The 18,798-nt window shown below is 39.7% G+C and overlaps 1 protein-coding gene across 6 annotated transcripts in view, besides 1 other annotated feature; it reads left to right on the top strand.

Moving 5' to 3' along the window:
* Positions 1-18,798, top strand: part of ARHGAP10 (Rho GTPase activating protein 10) — a 340,689-nt gene that overhangs the window by 199,698 nt on the left and 122,193 nt on the right. For 5 of the 6 annotated variants that reach the window (NM_024605.4, XM_005263215.4, XM_047416160.1 and 2 more), the window contains 2 exons: positions 8,040-8,114; positions 14,832-14,919. In NM_024605.4, the coding sequence (NP_078881.3) occupies positions 8,040-8,114; positions 14,832-14,919 (163 nt within the window). The remainder of the gene's footprint in view (positions 1-8,039; positions 8,115-14,831; positions 14,920-18,798) is intronic. The other variant, XR_001741324.2, reaches the window with a different exon arrangement.
* Positions 1,951-2,450: an enhancer, noted in NCBI's record as "H3K27ac hESC enhancer chr4:148854887-148855386 (GRCh37/hg19 assembly coordinates)". NCBI's record gives its function as "activates a minimal SCP1, AML or CMV promoter by ChIP-STARR-seq in naive H9 embryonic stem cells {active_cell/tissue: H9 hESC(naive)}" and the evidence as "EXISTENCE:reporter gene assay evidence [ECO:0000049][PMID:30033119]".

The following is an 18,798-nucleotide window of genomic DNA, read 5'->3' on the forward strand; positions in this document are numbered from 1 at the left end:
ATGCCAAAAGCAATTGCAACAAAAGCAAAAATTGACAAATGGGATCTTATTAAACTAAAGAGCTTCTGCACAGCAAAAGAAACTATCACCAGAGCAAACAGACATCCTACAGAACGGGAGAAAATTTTTGCAATCTATCCATCTGACAAAGGTGTAATATCCAGAATCTATAAGGAACTTTAAATGAGAAAAACAACCTCATTGAAAAGTGGGCAAAGGACATGAACAGACACTTCTCAAGACAAGACATACATGTGACCAACAAACATATGAAAAAAAAGTTCAACATCATTAATCATTAGAGAAATGCAAGTCAAAACCACAATGAGATACCATCTCAAGCCAGTCAGAATGGCTATTATTAAAAAGTCAAAAAACAGATGCTGGTGAGATTGTGGAGAAAAAGGAACACACTATCGGTGGGAGTGTGAATTAGTTCAGCCATTGTGGAAGACAGTGGCGATTCCTTAAAGACCTAGAGGCAGAAATACCATTTGACCCAGCAATTCCATTACTGGGTATATACCCAAAGGAATGTAAATTGTTTTATTATAAAGACGCATGCATATGTTCACTACATTACTTTTCACAATTGCAAAGACATGGAATCAACCCAAATGCCCATCAATGATAGACTGGATAAAGAAAATGCCGTACATGTAATATACCATGGAATACTATGCAGCCATAAAAAGGAATGAGATCATGTTCTTTGCAGGGACATGGATGGAGCTGGAGCCCATTTTTCTTAGCAAAGTAATGCAGAAACAGAAAACCAAATATCTCATGTTTTCACTTACAAGTGGGAGCTAAATAATAACACATGGACACATGGGGGGAACAACACACACTGGGACCTGTCAGAAGGCGGGGGTGGGAGGAGGGAGAGGCTCAGGAAGAATAGCTAATGGATGCTGGGCTTAATACCTGAGTAATGGGATGGTCTGTGCAGCAAACCACTATGGCACACGTTTACTTATGTAACCTGTACATCCTGCACATGTACCTCTGAACTTAAAAGTTGGAGATAAAAAATGGAAAAAACAATAAAAAGGTAATATGGGACATACACTGAATAGAATATTACATCTCCAGGCAGGTTTGGTGTGGAAATTACTTTTAACATGTGAAATATGAACATTCAGTCTGAGTGGAAAAAATACTTAAATAACCTGATTTCAGGTCATGCATTTATACTTTTTCAGCTTCAGGATTTCTTTTTGATTTTTAAAAATTATTTCAATCTCTCTGTTAAATTTCCCCAATAAATTTCTGAATTGATTTTCTGTATTTTCTTGAAGTTTGTTGAGAAGGAAGCTCATCTTCTTTAAATTTCTTTGAGAGATTGCATGTCTTCATCACTTTAGGGTTGGTCTCTGGTGCCTTATATTGCCTGTTAGGTGAGGCCATATTTCCCTGAATGTTCTTTTAAAAATTGTTTATTTTTTTAGGGACAAGGTTTTGCTATGTTGCCCAGGATGGAGCCCAGAGACTATTCACAGGTGCAGTCATAGCACACTATGGCCTTGAACTCCTATACTCAAGCAGTCCTTCTCCCTCAGCCTCCCAAGTAGCTGGGATTACAGGCACTCGCCACTGTGCCAGTCCCTGAATGCTCTCGATGCTTGTGACAGTGTCTGTGCATTGAGGGATTAGCTGTTTATTTTCATCTACCCAGTCTGGCTTTGTGCCTGTTCTTCAGAGGGCCTTCCAGGATTCTAAGATGACTGACTCTTGGGTTTCCTGAGCCTGTGACCACTGTAGCTGTCTCAGCACTAGAGGATGCTCTAAGCCCAGGCTTGCCACGAGTCTCTTCAGGACTCAGAAGTTGACGTGGCTTTCTGCCCCAGATGGACCTGGGGAAGACCCAAAAAAGATACTGGGACTGTGTGGGAATACTGGCCAAGACCTGAGTCCAGAAGACTGTTCTAGTGGCCCAGATGGATGTGTCTCCCAGCAGGTCTCTGCATGGGTGGGATGAATTTCTGACTATAGCAGAATGGGCTGGAGTTGATATGAGGCCCTCTTGGTATCTGCTGTGGGGCAGAGGCTGGAGAGCCAGGCTCTTTGGGTGTATGTCTCATAGTAGGTCTCAACATGAGATTGTTCCCTGATTGCAGTGGGAGGGGCGGGAGCTGAGCCTGGGTCCCCTTAGGATCTGTTGTGGGGCAGAGGTTGGCAAGCCCATCTGGAAGCCTCAGGCTCCCAGGCTGCGAGACATGGGTGAGTTTCCCTCTGGGTCCCTGTGCAAGCAGCTCTGAGTTGGGACCTTGGCTGAGGGGCCCTGGAGCCAAGCCACAGGGCAAGTCTCAGGTTCACTGCTGAGACCACTGTTAGTATGCAGACGAACCTTTCTGCCAAAGCACCAGTGTGCAAGATTCCTTTTGGACCCCTTGGCAGATAGTTTCAACTGCAGGCTCAAGGCCAAAGAGGGCTGTAGCTAAGTCCCTTGGAGGACTGGACCATTGTCAAGCTTGAATCTAGGAGCAAGCTTGTGGCACATCAGCCACCTGGATGTTGGTCTGCACTCTCAAAGTGACCCTCCCAGGTCTTGGGCTCCACCAAGGTTTCACAAACTTTTACCTGAATCCTGAGATTCCCACAGAGAGACTTTGATGGTGGATGGATGCAGAATTCTTACTGTCATATGGGGATATGAGCAGGTTACTTTCTGTGCCACCATCTTGGTGATGCCACTCCTCTATCCGTTAACGCTTTTGATTTTGGGAGTTGTGACTAAGATTGTGGACTTGTTTTAAGATGTACCCTGGTGGGTGCAGTGGCTCTTGCCTGTAATCCCAGCACTTTGGGATGCCCTGAGGCAGTAGGACCACTTGCACCAGGAGTTTGAGACCAGCCCAGGCAACATAGTGAGACCCGCTCTCTACAAAAAATAGATTCAGCCTAGTGTGGTAGCATGTGCTTGTAGTCCCAGCTAGTCGAGGGGCTGACATGGGAGGATGGCTTGATCCAAGGAGGTCAAGGCTGCAGAGAGCTGTTATCACACCACTGCATTCCACCTGGGTGACAGAATGAGACCCTGCCTTAAAAATAAAAAATTTTAAATGTAATCAAGTGTTAAATTAAAAGGAATCAATTATGAGTTATGTTTAGAAGAAGGGAGTATCACTGTGGGCTGGTGTCAAAAAGGGGATTTTTATCCGGTTTTGAAGGTTTAGATGGGAATTTTACTCACTGTCGAATCTTGGGCAACCAGAATAGCACCTGGCACATATCTGATGAATAAATATATGACAGTTGAATAAATCTGTGAAGAGAAGGGGAAGAGCATTCCTGCTGGGGAGACTTCAGCCTGAATGTAGCCGCAGAGGATGCAATGAACTTGGTTATTTGTGGGTGATGGTCGAGCTGTCTGTTGTGATTAAGTTGAATACACTGCAGTCCCTGTAGGAAGATGAGGTGAGGCCCGTCATGGATGTGTGCGTGTGTGTGCCTTACATACTTGTTAAGGCTAGAGGATGTGGGCTGGATCTGAAGGCTGGCTCTTAAATGGGGATCCAGGGGACATTAGATAATAATAGTGGTTTGAAAATAAAAAGATAGAAGACAGTGTTCAGAATGGATTATAGTTGTGTGTTTCTTTTTAGGGATTCCGTAATAAATGTGTGTGCATGAAATTCAGGACTGTGTTGAAGAGGCAGACATTAGTCTGAAGTTTGAAGAAAGAGTGGACATTGACTTGTTGCATTTGGAAAGTGACAGGGAAGAAGTCAAAGATTTCAAATTTCTAATACTTGTTGATCAGAAATAGTGATCCCTTTGGTTGACAGGGAAATTTGGAAAAGAAGCTGGAAAAGGACATGATAAACTCACTAATATGCCTTGGCATATTGGTTGGTTTATATCCTTAAGATGTATTTGATGCCTTTTATATGAACATATATGTGTTCATAGATAAAAAGTATGTTCCAGCTCTCATTTAGTTCAGAGCCTTTGAGAACAGTGTAGCAAGAAATAGAAAATCGAACAAGACTTGAGTGTATGTATTTTACGTGCGATTTCCAAGCTGCTTTTGTGCAAGGTTTATTTAAATTTCATTTAAAAATGTAGAAACTGTGTTGAGTAGCTTTAATTCCCCCTTGCACCTCTCAGTATGCATTAGCAATTACTTCTCTCAGGTTGATGAATTTGAACTTGATCAATTATTTGATAGTAATTACTGGCACAGAGTGATTATTATTGCCGAAGTGACATTCTTATTTCATCTCTCCATATAATTCAGGCCGTTTTCACAGAGGCATGTTTGCTTGAATGCAGAGTATGATTTGCTCTTTTGGCTTCTACCACTGAGGTCAAACTTTTTAAGCTTTCTTAGCTAGAGTAGTACTGAAACCCTCTGGTATTTTAAACTATCTGGATGTGCCCTTCTGGCTTCCAAAAAGAAGGAAGGATTGAGGCTCAATCTTTTTTCCTGTATCGGGCTCAAAAGGTCTCTGATTTTTGTGTTTCTTAGCAACTTTCTTTTCTTTTTTCCAACTCCTGGCAGGGCTGTGCGGCCTCCTTTTCCTCTCTTTTTTTTTTTTTTTTTTTTTTGAGATGGAGTCTTGCTCTGTCGCCCAGGCTGGACTGCGGACTGCAGTGGCGCAATCTCGGCTCACTGCAAGCTCCGCTTCCCGGGTTCACGCCATTCTCCTGCCTCAGCCTCCCGAGTAGCTGGGACTACAGGCGCCCGCCACCGTGCCCGGCTAATTTTTTTGTATTTTTAGTAGAGACGGGGTTTCACCTTGTTAGCCAGGATGGTCTCGATCTCCTGACCTCATGATCCACCCGCCTCGGCCTCCCAAAGTGCTGGGATTACAGGCGTGAGCCACCGCGCCCGGCCCTTTTCCTCTCTTATAGTTGCTGAATGTTCGCCCTCAGGAAGGTGTGTCTCTGATGCTGTGACTCCTTAGTGTTCTGAGTAGACTTAGGTAGACTAAGGGCTAGCCTTTGCTCTTCTGGTTCTTTAAGCTCTAATGAGATGGAGAGTAATTATTAGCTTGCTTGGGCTGCCATAATAAAGTATCACAGGCTGGGTGACTTAAATCAGGGGTCCCCAATCCCCAGACCGTGGCCTATTAGGAACCAGGCCTCACAGCAGGCGGTGAGCAGTGGGCAAGCCTTATGGCCTCAGCTCCGCCTCCTGTCAGATCAGTGGCGACATTAGATTGTTATAGGAGTGCAAACCCTATTGTGAACTGCACATGTGAGTGATCTAGGTTTTGTACTCCTTATGAGAATCTAATAATAAATGTAATGCTCTTGAATCATTCTGAAACCATCCCCCCCACCCCAATCGGTGGAAAAATTGTCTTCCATGAAACCAGCCCCTGGTGCCAAAAAGGTTGGGGATGGGGGCTGCTGAATAAACAATAGAAATCAATTTTCTCACAATTCTGGGGGCTACAAGTCCAATATTAAGCTATCAGCAGGGTTAATTTCTTCTGAGGCCTCTCTCTGGCATGGGGATAGCTGTCTTCTCCCTGTGTCTTCTCATGGTCCCCCTCTGTACATGTCTGTGTCTTCATCTCTTCTTACAAGGCCTCCAGTCATGGTGGATTTGTGCCCACCCTGGTGACCTCATTTTAATTTAATTACTTTTTTTTTCAAGACCTTATTTCTAAATACAGTCACATTTGGAAGTACTGAGGATTAGGACGTCAACAGATGAATTTGTGGGGATACAATTCAGCCTATAACAGAAGGAAAAATAGGACATTTGTAAAACTTAAAAAATAAGGAATAAAAAGCAAAGAGGATTTATATTCCTTTGGGTATATACCCAGTAATATAAATCGTCCTGTTATACACACACATGCACATGTATATTCATTGCAGCCCTACTCACAATAGCAAAGACATGGACTCAGCCTAAATGCCCATCAGTGATAGACTGGATAAAGAAAATGTGGGGTCAGGCGTATTGGCTCATGCCTGTAATCCCAGCACTTTGGGAGGCGGAGGCAGGCGGATCACCTGAGGTCAGAAGTTCAAGATGAGCCTGACCAACATGGTGAAACCCCATCTCTACTAAAAATACAAAATTAGCTGGGTGTGGTGGCATATGCCTGTAATCCCAGCTACTTGGGAGGCTGAGACAGGAGAATCACTTGAACCTGTGAGGTGGAGGTTGCAGTGAGCCGAGATTGCTCCATTGTACTCCAGCCTGGGCAACAAGAGTGAAACTCCATCTCCAAAAGAAACAAAATGTGGTACATAAAGTACCACGGACTACTATGCAGCCCTAAAAAGGAACGAGGATCATGTCCTTTGCTGGGACATGGATGGAAGTGGAGGCCATTATCCTTAGCAAAGTAATGCAGGAATAGAAAACCAAACACTGCATGTTCTCACTTATAAGTGGGAGCTAAATGATGAGAACTCGTGGACACATAGAGGAGAACAACACATACTGAGGCCTATGGGAGGGTGGAGGGTGGGAAAAGGGAGGGGATCAGGAAGAATAATTAATGAGTACTAGGCTTAGTACCTGGGTGATGAAATAGTCTGTACAACAAATGCCATGACACAGGTTTATTATCTATGTAACAAACCTGTACATGTACCCCTGAACTTAAAAGTTAAAAAAAATAGTATATGTAACTATAATTTTTAAAAAAAGCAAAGAGAAAAAGAAGGAACAAAACTTGACAAGGAAGAATGAATGCTTTTGTGTGTGTGCTGTGAGTTACAATCTGTAGGACATGTGTTAGTATCATCTCATTTCCCTCCCAGCATAACATAGGGTATAGGATGCAGTCCTTGATCTCAGATACAGCATAGAGACTCCGAGAGGTTTCCTCTCTTCCTCATGAGTGACTGAACTGACTTGAATCCAATTCTTTAGACTCTGACTAGTATTCTTTTCATCACTCCGAGCAGGGAGGTGAAAAGAAAGTAAACCCTCGTGGTCAAATTCCATGGCCTTTTGTTGTGTTATTCTGTTTTGGAAACTTTGGGGATTAGAGGCATCATCTGCCTGTCAGCCAGTTGTGTTCTTGTTACCTTTAACATTCGTAGCGGAGAAAATAAACACACAGCCAGAAAGCTGCAACTCATTTGAGAAGTAAATATAAGTCACATTTTTTGGAAGTCATTATTATGAAAATTTTCAAGCATAAAAAAGTAGAGAGATTGGTATAATGAATTCCCATATTCTCATCCAGATTCAATAATTATCAAGATTTTGCCACAGTTGTTTCATCTATCCCTTTTTCCCTCTTAAAGCAAATGTAAGGTTACTTTTAACCCTTTCAGGATGCAACTTTAAACAAATGGAGATTTTCTTACCCTTAATGCTACTCAGTTTGCTAATTGCATCAAAAATGTCTTTTCGTCATTGATTTGTTCAGATCAGAATGCAAATGATAAGGATATTTGTTCAGCATACCAAATTAGGTTTGACAATACATTTTCTTTTATATGTCTCTTGTTTTCAGGGACAATTTGTTTTCAGATCTCTGTAGAGAGAGAGGATGCATTGATTTGGTTCATTTTGCAGTATACTTTGTGGTGATATTGATTTGAAGTTTCACAGCTCCTCACTGGACAGGACATGTAACAACTTTAAAAAAAATTACAGTTTTGCTTTAGTTTTGAATGAATTTCTATGGTTTTCAGAAATCATCCAAACAATGATTTCTATGTACTAATCATCACCGTATTTTTAAAAGGCTAAAACTTTTGAAGAAAAATGTAAACAAGTAAATACAGTAAACATAAAAGTTTTAGTGCATCTTTACAAATTGGATTGGTATTCATTTCAATGTATCCATGATACTTAACTAACTTACTAACATTGAGGCATTTCATTTTTGTCCACATGGAACATTGTTTGCTGAGATTATTTTTTTAACCACAACTTACAGATAAAAAGCTAGTAAAACAAGTTGTTAAACACTTGATTTTTTCAAAGGTTATTTTTATAGTTAACAGGAATGCTGCTAATGTTAGTTAGCAAAGATTTTGAATGCAACTGTTTGATGGCTTTTAAAATATGATAGTCTTCTATTTTGCTAATAGTTTGTTTCTTCCCATAGGTATAAATGACCAAGGATTGTACAGAGTTGTGGGGGTGAGTTCAAAGGTCCAGAGACTTCTGAGTATGTTGATGGGTATGCCTCTTTTCTAATCATTTTTCCATGTGTTATTTGTGTATGTTCATTGACTTCACAGCTTAATATTTCATAATAATGTAGAGAATACTTGTCATTCCATTCCTCTACTTTCTACAGGAGTTTTCTGCTGAGCAGAGACAATTGACCCACAGAAGTAGATTAGTATTTGCATCAGCATAGATTGTCTATTACCTCTTATTAAGAAATGAAAAAAGAATGCACCCCCTGGTTGACTATCTTCCTGTGCTTGCTTCTCACAGGGAAGTGGCAGTCAGGCCTCTATGATTTGCGTGGCTTCCAAATAGCCTGTCCAGAATTGTGACAGTACATTTGGTTGGACAAGACCACTGGGACTCGCTCATTTTTATGGAGCTTCCAAAACTGTCATTTGACAGCAAGGGTCTGATTCTCAGGGATTCATTGGTATTCACAGTGGCTTGTTTGTAGTTCACACCAGGCTCTCCTCCAGAACCATGCATGCTCCATCTGTGCTGATAACACAGTGTTCTTTGGCATCGCAGACTAGAGGAAGCCAGAAAGTGAATTCATTTCATTACCCCAGACATTATGTGAATGACAAAGCGCTTTTACATTACACACTGCTGTCAGTTCATTGCCACCTGTAAGACACTCCACTTCTCCCCCACCCCAAAACAGGCTGCCTCTTGAAGAGTGATGATAACTCATCAGGCTAGAGGGCCTGTGTATCAAACCAATCTGTCATTATGATCTTGCTACATATTAATTTATTTGATACCTTACTTTAATTAATCAATATTAACAATGCCCTCAGGTGTGCTGTGAATGCATTCCAACCTGTCTGCATCTTAAAACATTACAGCAAAGAGTCATTTTTAGGAAGCATGAGCCAAGTTGAATAAAATCAACTGCCATGCTACAGATAGGATTGCTTGTTTGCCTATATTTGAATTAAGGATTTAATAAGCAACAATCTTTTATAAGCTATTAACCACAGGAGAAATTGCCCGTCATCAGTTGGAGAGCCTTATTAGAATACATTCACTTCCATAAGCTGTTTTCATTTTCTGCCTCTCTGGTTTAACTTGGGTGTGCAATTTTGGCAGTCAGATTTTCCTTTTTACCAATAGTGGTCTCCAAATTAAATAGACTCAGGTTGCCAGTGGTTCAGTAGCAGCTGGAAGAATTTAATGGGAGTACAGCATCTGCTTTTACTTAATTTTAAAATTGGAATCACTTCTTTCATTTCCAAGATGGTGTTATGATGATTAGAACTGGAAGAGTATATTGATAACAGAATGGGAAATGTGGACTGAAAGGCACATTTTGCTGGTAAATTGGTCCTAAGGACCTGGCATTATTTTTATTATCATCTTGTTCCTGTTCAAGGAAAGTTTGAACAAGGGTTTTTCTGTGGTCACCTTGAAGTGCTAAGCTGTCTCAAAATTTGTTGGTCATCTCATAAAATTCTACGTGTACAGCATTGCTAAACTCAGCGTGGTAGTTTGCTCTGCTCATGGGAAATGTCCCAAGCCAGTCCTTAACTTACAAGGTGTTTTTAAATATCTAAACCCTCAAAAAATTCGTGACCTGGAAAACTGTTTTTACTTTTCATGGGCCTCAGAGTAGAGAAGCCCAGGACATGAGTGTGACACAACCTCACACATATTGCTGGCAAGGGAAATGCTTATGTTTTCAGTAATACCATTCTGCAATCAGAGGAAAGTTAGAGAATTGATGTGAGACAGATACTGACTTGTTACCTCCTCATTAAGCCATTCATTTAAGAGGGTTACACAATATACATTTGTTTTGAGTAATCTATAAATAATTCCTAGTGTGAATTTAAGATTATCAGTCAAAAACTTTGGATTTTCATTAGCATTAATACCATTTTCTTATTACCTTATGCTACCAATACAAACCTTAGCCCTTGACAAAATATATTTATTTGCTATTTCCTAATCACTTAAATGTTTCCTTATTTCTTTCCTTTTATTCTGATGGAGTGGACTTGTCTCTTTTTTCTGGTGTGTTTTTTCCCTTCATATTGAACACTGATTGAGTGTTCAAATGGAAATAATTTAACGCCTCTTCCAAAAAAAGGGTTTTAGAGTTTTGAATAGTCATGTCTACATAATCTTAGGGGCATTTTTTTCTCCAACTTTTCCCATTTTGCTCATTGTTAGAGGGTTACATGTATATCCTGAAGAGGAAAAAATTGTGTGGGTCTGCCAAGTTTTTAACTTTGCTTTTTTAAAGCAATTAGTGTTTATTATTATTCCTGCAGGTAATAGGTTTATTTCAAATTTGAATTTTTTCAAGGAACATTTTGTTTGTAATGCATTGTCTTTGTAGAAATGGGAAATAATTTAATTTTTAAGTATTTGAGAAACAGTCCCAAGCCATGTACTATTTTTTGAGGAGAGCTGCCATTTATCCAATTCTCTGTAGTTCTTGAGAGCTAATTATTTACTTTAGAATTTTTTATTGCCATTTTTACACAAAGTACTTTGTATTGTTTGTTAAAGTGTTTTAAGTCTTATTTAAATACTCATGTAAAAGTTTATAATGATTTCTAAAAGGGTATATGCTTAATCTCTTGCATGTTTTTTCACTTGTCTCTTTTTTCTGGTATGTTTTTTCCCTTCATATTTCATATTAAAATAGCAAAATGTTTCTTTCCACTATCCTTCTCTCCGTCCTCCTTCTCCTGCCCCTTTGTTCCCTCCTTATCCTCTTTATTCTCTCCCCCTTCTTTCCTTCTCCCCTAATTCCCAGCTGGCATGAAATAGCAATGACATTGACCATAGAAAACTGTCTAAATAGAGAGGCAGTTATTCTCCTCGAGGCCAGGTAAAGGAGCAGGCAGCTGCCTTCCTCCATCCGGTGATGAGAGGGTATTCTTAGTTGTCTTCCCCTCTGGGAGCCTAAGGCAGCTATCCGCTGGATTTCCAGCAGCCTCTAAGCCTTTCCCTGGACCAAGCTTCTTAAGCTGCTGAAAGAACATGCCCATATAAGCAGATGCCTGCCTTTTTCTTCCCCTTTGCAGCCTCTAAGACAGGGCGCACAGATTTGGTAGAAGTTGTTATTGTTTTTGTAAAGTAGAAACTTAGCACAGTTTGGAAAGGCAGGGAGAAATATCAGATGAGTTGTCTTTAGGTGAGTCATGGTTTTTTAGTAAATGGAGTGAGAATGTAAAATATCAATTACAATAGTTCATGGTAGATTAGAACTGATACGAGGTAGAATTGTTATACATTCTTCCTTCTTCCCTACTTTAGTTTAAAACATCAGAGTGGAAGAAGAGGAAATTGTGAGAAAATGTGGTAGTAGTTTGTGTGGTCTGGTGAGCTCAGTGGTTAATTCTAAATCTGATTTGCAAGAAGGGCTGGATGACCTTATTTTCACACATAAAACCACAGAAAACAAGAAATGAGAAGAGTTTTACTTGAAAACCATTACCTTGTTTCCTTTGTAGGACAGCTTTGTTGCATAGATTGGGGAAAAAAGTGAACTAACGTAGCTGAAAAGTATAAAACATATTTTCAAAATTCATCCATTCACTGTGCTTTTTCAAGTACTTTAAAATTGGACCTAAGTCAGTGTTGAGTAGGGTGCTAGCAGCTGCATAAAATTGCACTTTGCATTTAGGTTGGACTGCAGATTTTCAGTTTCAAAAAAATGACCAGTGGTTACGTAAGCGTGAAACATTCACCCAAATAAAAAGTCAACTCTTTTTATCTGTGCTTGTTAGTTTAGATTTTTAACAAACCCATAAAGTGTCCTTCCTTGGTCAGAAAGGAAGCAAATTGTTTTTATCTTTCTTATGGTAGAACATGTATTCTGAATGAACCCTCCAAATGTATTTTCACATTTGAATCCCAAATAATTATTAAATTCTGCCTAGTCCCAGTGCATTCACTGATTCTAAAGGACTGCTAGGGATGATTGAGCTATTTGAAAACAGTGAAAATTTAAGAGAGAATTAGTAACATAGACACTGTGTAGTCATTTGCTTCTGATGTGACAGCTGCTTTTTATTCCATGAATTTAGAATGATGGCTTATTTTTCCATAGACAGAATATGATTCTCAAAATACGGAATCATAATTTGGTAGAAAGCTGGAAATAAAAGATTTCCTTTAGAAGCCTCTTGGATTTTAAAAAGGTGGTTTGCTGGTAGCAAGTTGATTGAAAATGTTATCTGACTTGTATGTTAAAACGAGATTTAAATAATTGATTTAATGAGAGAGAGAATATTCAGTTACTGAAGTAATTGGTTGGCAAAGTCTTTAGAACAGAATTATTTAGTCCTAGTTATAAAGGATTGCACCTTTAATCAGGGGGCTTAATTTGATTTCTTGAATGTATCTGTGGCTTGTCTGACAAGCTCAGTAACAAATGAGTTCAGAATTGTAGGAACTGATCAAAATGTAATCAGTGTCAATTGCCATTGTTGTAGTTTATTGCATATTGCTGTCAGTTGCTGTAATCAAGAAATGTTGAAGTGCTTTAAAAGTCTTCAGACCTTTGAGTAATTGACCTCATATGTATGATGCTATGCCTGTGAAATAACCATCACTTCCTGTTTTACTTTATCTTCAGAAAGTTTCAGCCCAACATTGAGTTGTCATCCACCCTTCATCATCCCAAGCCTAAAACTTTTTAAGTAGCATGCACGACTTAATGTGGTGGTACCATTTTGACAGGTTTTTCTTTTTAGTGTTTTTAAAAAGGAAATGCTAACAAGATGTTGCCTTCTCTATGAAGACAAATACAGTATAAGGGAGGGAAAAAACCCTGAAACAACGAGGTTTTTTTTGGTCTTAGTTAAGACATCATCGTGGAGTGAGGGAGAAATAGTCTTTTCCATGAACCTCTTACTTTCTCCTTTGCATAGTAGGTGTGTAGAAAACCAGGCAAATTGATATTGATGGCTCAATATCATTCGTCGTAACCCATTTCCTGCCTCCTCCCTTTGGGTAGGTACCATCACTGCTTGCTTATACTTTTCAGTGACTCAGCAGTGGCAATAACCTGCTACGTTTAATTATTTATGGAAATCTGTATACGTTCTTCATTTGCCTTGATGCTCTCAATCGTTCTGTGAGAGCATTTACATTATCTCCATTGTGCAGATGAAGATCTGAAGTTCAGATAGGTTTGCAACTCGCTTGTGGTGGTATGGCTGGGCCAGGTTGTTAGAAGCGTGTAAGCCCAGCTTTGTGATACCCATGCTGCATTCCTCCCTGCCGCCATGCCACAGCTGAGTGTACCAGCCCAGAGTTCTAAGAGTCAAAGAAGCCATCATACTCCTTAGGGGTTTGCCTTTCCTGCCATCCTTTCATTTTATTTCTACCAGAATTGACACTTTCCATTCCACAATTTACTAACTCTCCCATCTCCTTTTTTTTTTCCTGGTGCCATATACCTTTTCTTTAGAACTTACTAGCCGTTTTGAATTTTCTTCTTTTACTTTATAAAGAAGCAGCCCTATTAACTGACTTACCATTTGAAAGGATGTTTGTAAGAAACACATAATTACACGCTATTTGGATAAAGAAAACTAGTTTAAGTTAGAATGAATGTCTAGAGTGTTGAACAGAGGCTTCCAATAAATATTTCCCGGATGACTATATTATAGTGTTAATGTGAAAGGTTAACTGTAAATGACTTTTTAAGTCTCTGTGTAGTTATTTTCTGTTTTGGTTGATCATATGTTAATTTCAGAAAGATAGTCTAATGAACAGAAATCCTGAAAATCTGAGACCAAGTTTATCATCCTTTCACCAGTTTGTTGCCATTCTGATAGTCATTTGGCCATTCATGGTGCCACCCTCGGTTTTCTGTGTCATGATGATGCAGGATTTTTTTGCTCCTTGGTTCAGCTAAATCCGTGTTTTTGTGTCATCACCAGGAAAAATTAGACATGCGGACACAGTGAAGGGTGAGGAGAGTGGAACTTATTAAGCTTAAGGGGAGTGCTCAGCAAAGAGAGGGGGTCCCACCAGCGGGCTCCCACCTCTCATATTGAACGCAAGGCCACCACACATGAATTGAAGAGGTCTGGCTCCTCCTTTGCATAAGGCGGGAATTCCCAGTAGCTCCACCCTGTTCCCCCAGTGCGCGTGTGGGCCCTTAGTCTAAGCCACTCCACATTGATTTATTTCCCTTTCTAAGCATGTGTTAAAAGACCGAAATTTTTACCGTGGGCATGTATAGGCAAGCCTTATGTGCACAATGACCTGGGTGGATCGGAGGTTCTCTGGGGACTCTACCCTACTTAGTTGGCTGTCTCCTGCCTCTATCAATACACAGTATGAGGGCAACAATGCCACCTAAAACACCTCAAACCATGTGCATACAACTGAAAGTGCCGCTTGCTATAAGCCAAGGCTACTGAGTGATACTGTTAACGATGATGATGATAATAGCTATACATGAATTACATTGTGGATGTTGAAATAATATACTATGTCTAATTCTTCCTTACTCCCAACCCATCTCTTATTTTTTGCTTTGATCTCTACTACAGATTTTACGAAGTGCCAGAAGTGTCTAGTCATAGAACATAGCTTATAGTATTTTAGAGAAATCATATATATAATGTTTTCCTAGGAAACTGCAGGATTGTGGTTTGCCCATTTAAAAATGGAAGCTTTGTGAGCTAGACAAGAGGACCTTTGATGATCAAGGTTTTAATTATTTTTTTCTTGTTTGCTTGCTCACTAGATGTAAAAACATGCAATGAGGTGGACCTGGAGAATTCTGCAGATTGGGAAGTGAAGACAATAACAAGTGCCTTGAAACAGTATTTGAGGTAAGCTCCTCTCAGTAGCAAGAAAGAAGAATGGACTATTTGGATCTGTAACATAAAACAGATGCCAATTGTGTACATAAATATCAATAGTTAAATTAAGCCTTATTTTAAAAAGGGAAAATTTATCAGGTGTCTCAGTGTCCCAGAAAGAAAGGTAACTAGTAGATGCACATCAGTAATTAAGTAAATTGCAACAGAACAGAAATTGACATAGACTTGGGTTTTGAAATAGACATTTTTTGTGGATGTACATTTTAGGAATTAAACACTATGAAACAACTCGTCGAGGCTGATGATTGAATGAAGGCTATTTATTGAATTCATTGTGTCTTTATATTTTATGCTGAAATGATTTTTTAAAGTTTAAATGATTTGAACTTAGGCTTATGACAACATGTCAATGCAAAGCTCTTTGAAAAAGAAGTTTACTTGGTGAGGTTTTAAGATAAAGTTGTTTTCTATTTATAATAGAAAACATTTAGGACTAGAGTTAGAGGGTAGCATTTTTTTATGAGTCACTGTCTTTTTTTTTTTTTTTTTTTTAAAGAAAAGAACTTAATGATAAGCTCAGGGTTAGATGAAGAACAAGTATATAGACAGTTAAAAGAAAATGAAAAAAGATCACAACTGTAGTTTTTTTATATGCTGTGGTTCTGTTGGGAACTTAGATTTTCCATGGCAAACGAATGGCCTAGGACCAGTTCTTTTTTTTTTTAAGATGAAGTCTCGCTCTTTTTGCCCACGCTGGAGTGCAGTGGCACGATCTTGGCTCACTGCAACCTCTGCCTCCCAGGTTCAATCAATTCTCATGTCTCAGCCTCCTGAGTAGCTGGGATTACAGGCTTGCACCACCACGCCTGGCTAAGTTTTGTAATTTTAGTAGAGGTGGGGTTTCGCCATGTTGACCAGGCTGGTCTCAAACTCCTGACCTCAAGTGATCTGCCTCCTTTGGCCTCCCAAAGTCCTGGGATTACAGGTGTGAGCCACCATACCTGGCCTCAGGACCAGTTCTTTTTAACCATACATAGGGTTGTTTTTCAGGTAAAAGTTATTTGGGTTCCAGTGGATACATTCGAATCAACTTATATGACGTATTTTGTATTTTTAAAAAATTATGAAAAATTTCAGATACATAAGATGAGAGTTTAGTGTAATGAACCCTCATGGCTCTATTATCCTGCTTCTTGAGTTATCAACATTCCATCCTTCTTAATTCATTAATCTTCCTACCTGCCACTGTTTTTTTTTTTTTTTTGAGACAGAGTCTTGCTGTTGGCCCGGGCTGGAGTGCGATGGCACAATCTTGGCTCACTGCAACCTCCGCCTCCCGGGTTCCAGCAATTCTCCTGCCTCAGCCTCCTGAGTAGCTGAGATTACAGGCACTCGCCACCATGTCCGGCTAATTTTTTGGTATTTTTAAGTAGAGACAGGGTTTCGCTGTGTTGGCCAGGCTGGTCTCCTGACCTCAGGTGATCTATCCGCCTTAGCCTCCCAAAGTGCTGGGATCTACCTGCCACTTTTTAAAGATAATACTTTAAAGATTTTCTGAAACATCATATTACTGTACCCATAAATACTTCAGTATTTATCTCAAAAAGTCATTTTTAAAAAGTCAGTCAAAATATAATTATTATGCACAACAAAATTAATATCCAGCATTCAGTCCATGTTCAATTTTTACCAACTGTCTTCAAAAAGTCTTTTCATATTTGGTTTAAATCCTGCAGGATTTAAACTGTGCCAACTTTTCACTTGGTTGATAGGTTTTAAGGCTATTTTAATCTCTACATTTCCTCCCTTCCTCCACCACTGGCATTTATTTGTTGATGAACCTGGGTCATTTTTGATTATATCTTCATGATAACATTTAACATGTTTCTTTAGCCATGCTGTGTCCTGTAGATAAAGATTTTTCAAATGGGCTTTGTTAGAGTCAGGTTTTATTTTCTTTATTTCAAGAATGCATTGTAGGCCGGGCGCGGTGGCTCACGCCTGTAATCTCAGCACTTTGGGAGGCCGAGGCAGGCAGATCACAAGATCAGGAGATCAAGACCATCCTTGCTAACACGGTGAAACCCCGTCTCTACTAAAAAATACAAGAAAAAAAAAAAAATTAGCCGGCATGGTGGTGGGCGCCTGTAGTCGCAGCTACTCGGGAGGCTGAGGCAGGAGAAGGGTGGGAACCCAGGAGGCGGAGCTTGCAGTGAGCCAAGATCCAGCCACTGCACTCCAGCCTAGGAGACAGAGCGAGACTCTGTCTCAAAAAAAAAAAAACAAAAAAACCCCCAAAAAACAGAATCCATTGTAGTGGTGGTATATTCTTTCTGTTGTTTCCCATCAGGTAGCCTGGGTTGTCTGGTTGTCCCACTTTTTAATGATATAAAATTTATCCGTGGGTGATAGTTATGTATTACCTATTTTCAAGTGCTTTGTGTAAAGAAGATGTTTTCAGCCACTGTTCTAAATTTTTTCTGAAACTGTTATGTGCACTATTGTTATTCCTGATTGATAAAGGGATGTATACTTATATCAGTATTGCCACTGATAGTGACTAATTGTGGTTTAGATGAGGATTATGGTAAAAATGAATCTTGTTACTCCCAACTCTAGGATAAGAATTTAAGTTCCCTGAAGATAGGCATCTTTTAAGTCTTGTTCACTGCAGTATCCCCAGCAACTTGGAGCTGTGGCTGAGAAATTAGAACAGTGTTTCTCAACTGAGGATGGTTTTGTCCCTCAGTGGGATGTTTGGCCATGTTTGGAGACATTACTGATTTTCACCATTGCTGGTTTGCAGTGCTCCTGGCATCTGGTGGCATCTGACATCCTGCAGTACATAGGACAGCCCACCCTCCCCCCCACAAATAATTATTTGATTCAAAATGTCAATAATTCTGAGATTTAGAAAGCTGTGTTAGACACATGAAGGAAAGAGTAGGTAAGGGATATAAACATATAATGAATTGCACATATTAACTTGACCAAGAGACGTACTGCCACTCTAGGAGATAGCTTTAAATCCATTTTACTGTTTAGTAGACTCATAGCTAGTGCAGGTAAAGGGATTGACTGAGATGACTCAGTTATTGGTGGAAAACTAAGGGTGGAAATCCACCTTTTTGGCAATAAATTGCATTCTTTTTTCCTCCATTCCGTATGGTTCTTTTCTTTTGCTGTGTGGGAGGAATTTGTTTAATAAACTAGAGGCCCTTTTTATTTAGTACATAGGATTTCTTTTTGGATCTTGATATTCTCGGAAGCTGGTTCCTTATTGCCCCTGGTCTTGTGTTGCTTTTTCTGTCTTTTTATTTTATTACCTTGCTTCATCCTATGGAATTTCACTTTTAAACAAACATTGCCTACAGAACGACATTATGAAATGTTATTATTATATAACTTCACTTCTAACAAAATACACATTCTGCCTGAATGTGATAAAGTGAATTATCATAAGATGGCAGATGCCTTGGGAGATTTGAAAGTTGGGTTGCTGTTCTTTTCCCCTATGTTATTTTTAGCGATGGAAAATGCAGTAATTAGGATTTAATTGACCCTTTTTTTTCTCTAAATTTTGGTGATGCATCAAATGGGATAAAACTGGGTTTTTATCTACCTCCATTTTGGCAGCAGGGTTCTGGCCCAAGCAAGTGTATTTCTTTCTGCATGAGAGGTAATACAGTGTGATGGTCAAGAGCAGGAGGTCTGGAGCCAGCCTGCCTGCCAGGGTTGGAGCCCCAGCTCTGTCACTCATGGCACCATGGCGTGAAGCTGAATATAGCTTTTCTCACCCAAAAAAGCTCTTGCCCTTGAATTCTTCTCACTGCAAATAACCCAGCTATCTTATTGGATGGGATGTTGGAGGTGGAGGGAGGAAAACAG

This window comes from Homo sapiens, chromosome 4 (genome assembly GCF_000001405.40).
Source record: "Homo sapiens chromosome 4, GRCh38.p14 Primary Assembly".
Taxonomy (NCBI): domain Eukaryota; kingdom Metazoa; phylum Chordata; class Mammalia; order Primates; family Hominidae; genus Homo; species Homo sapiens.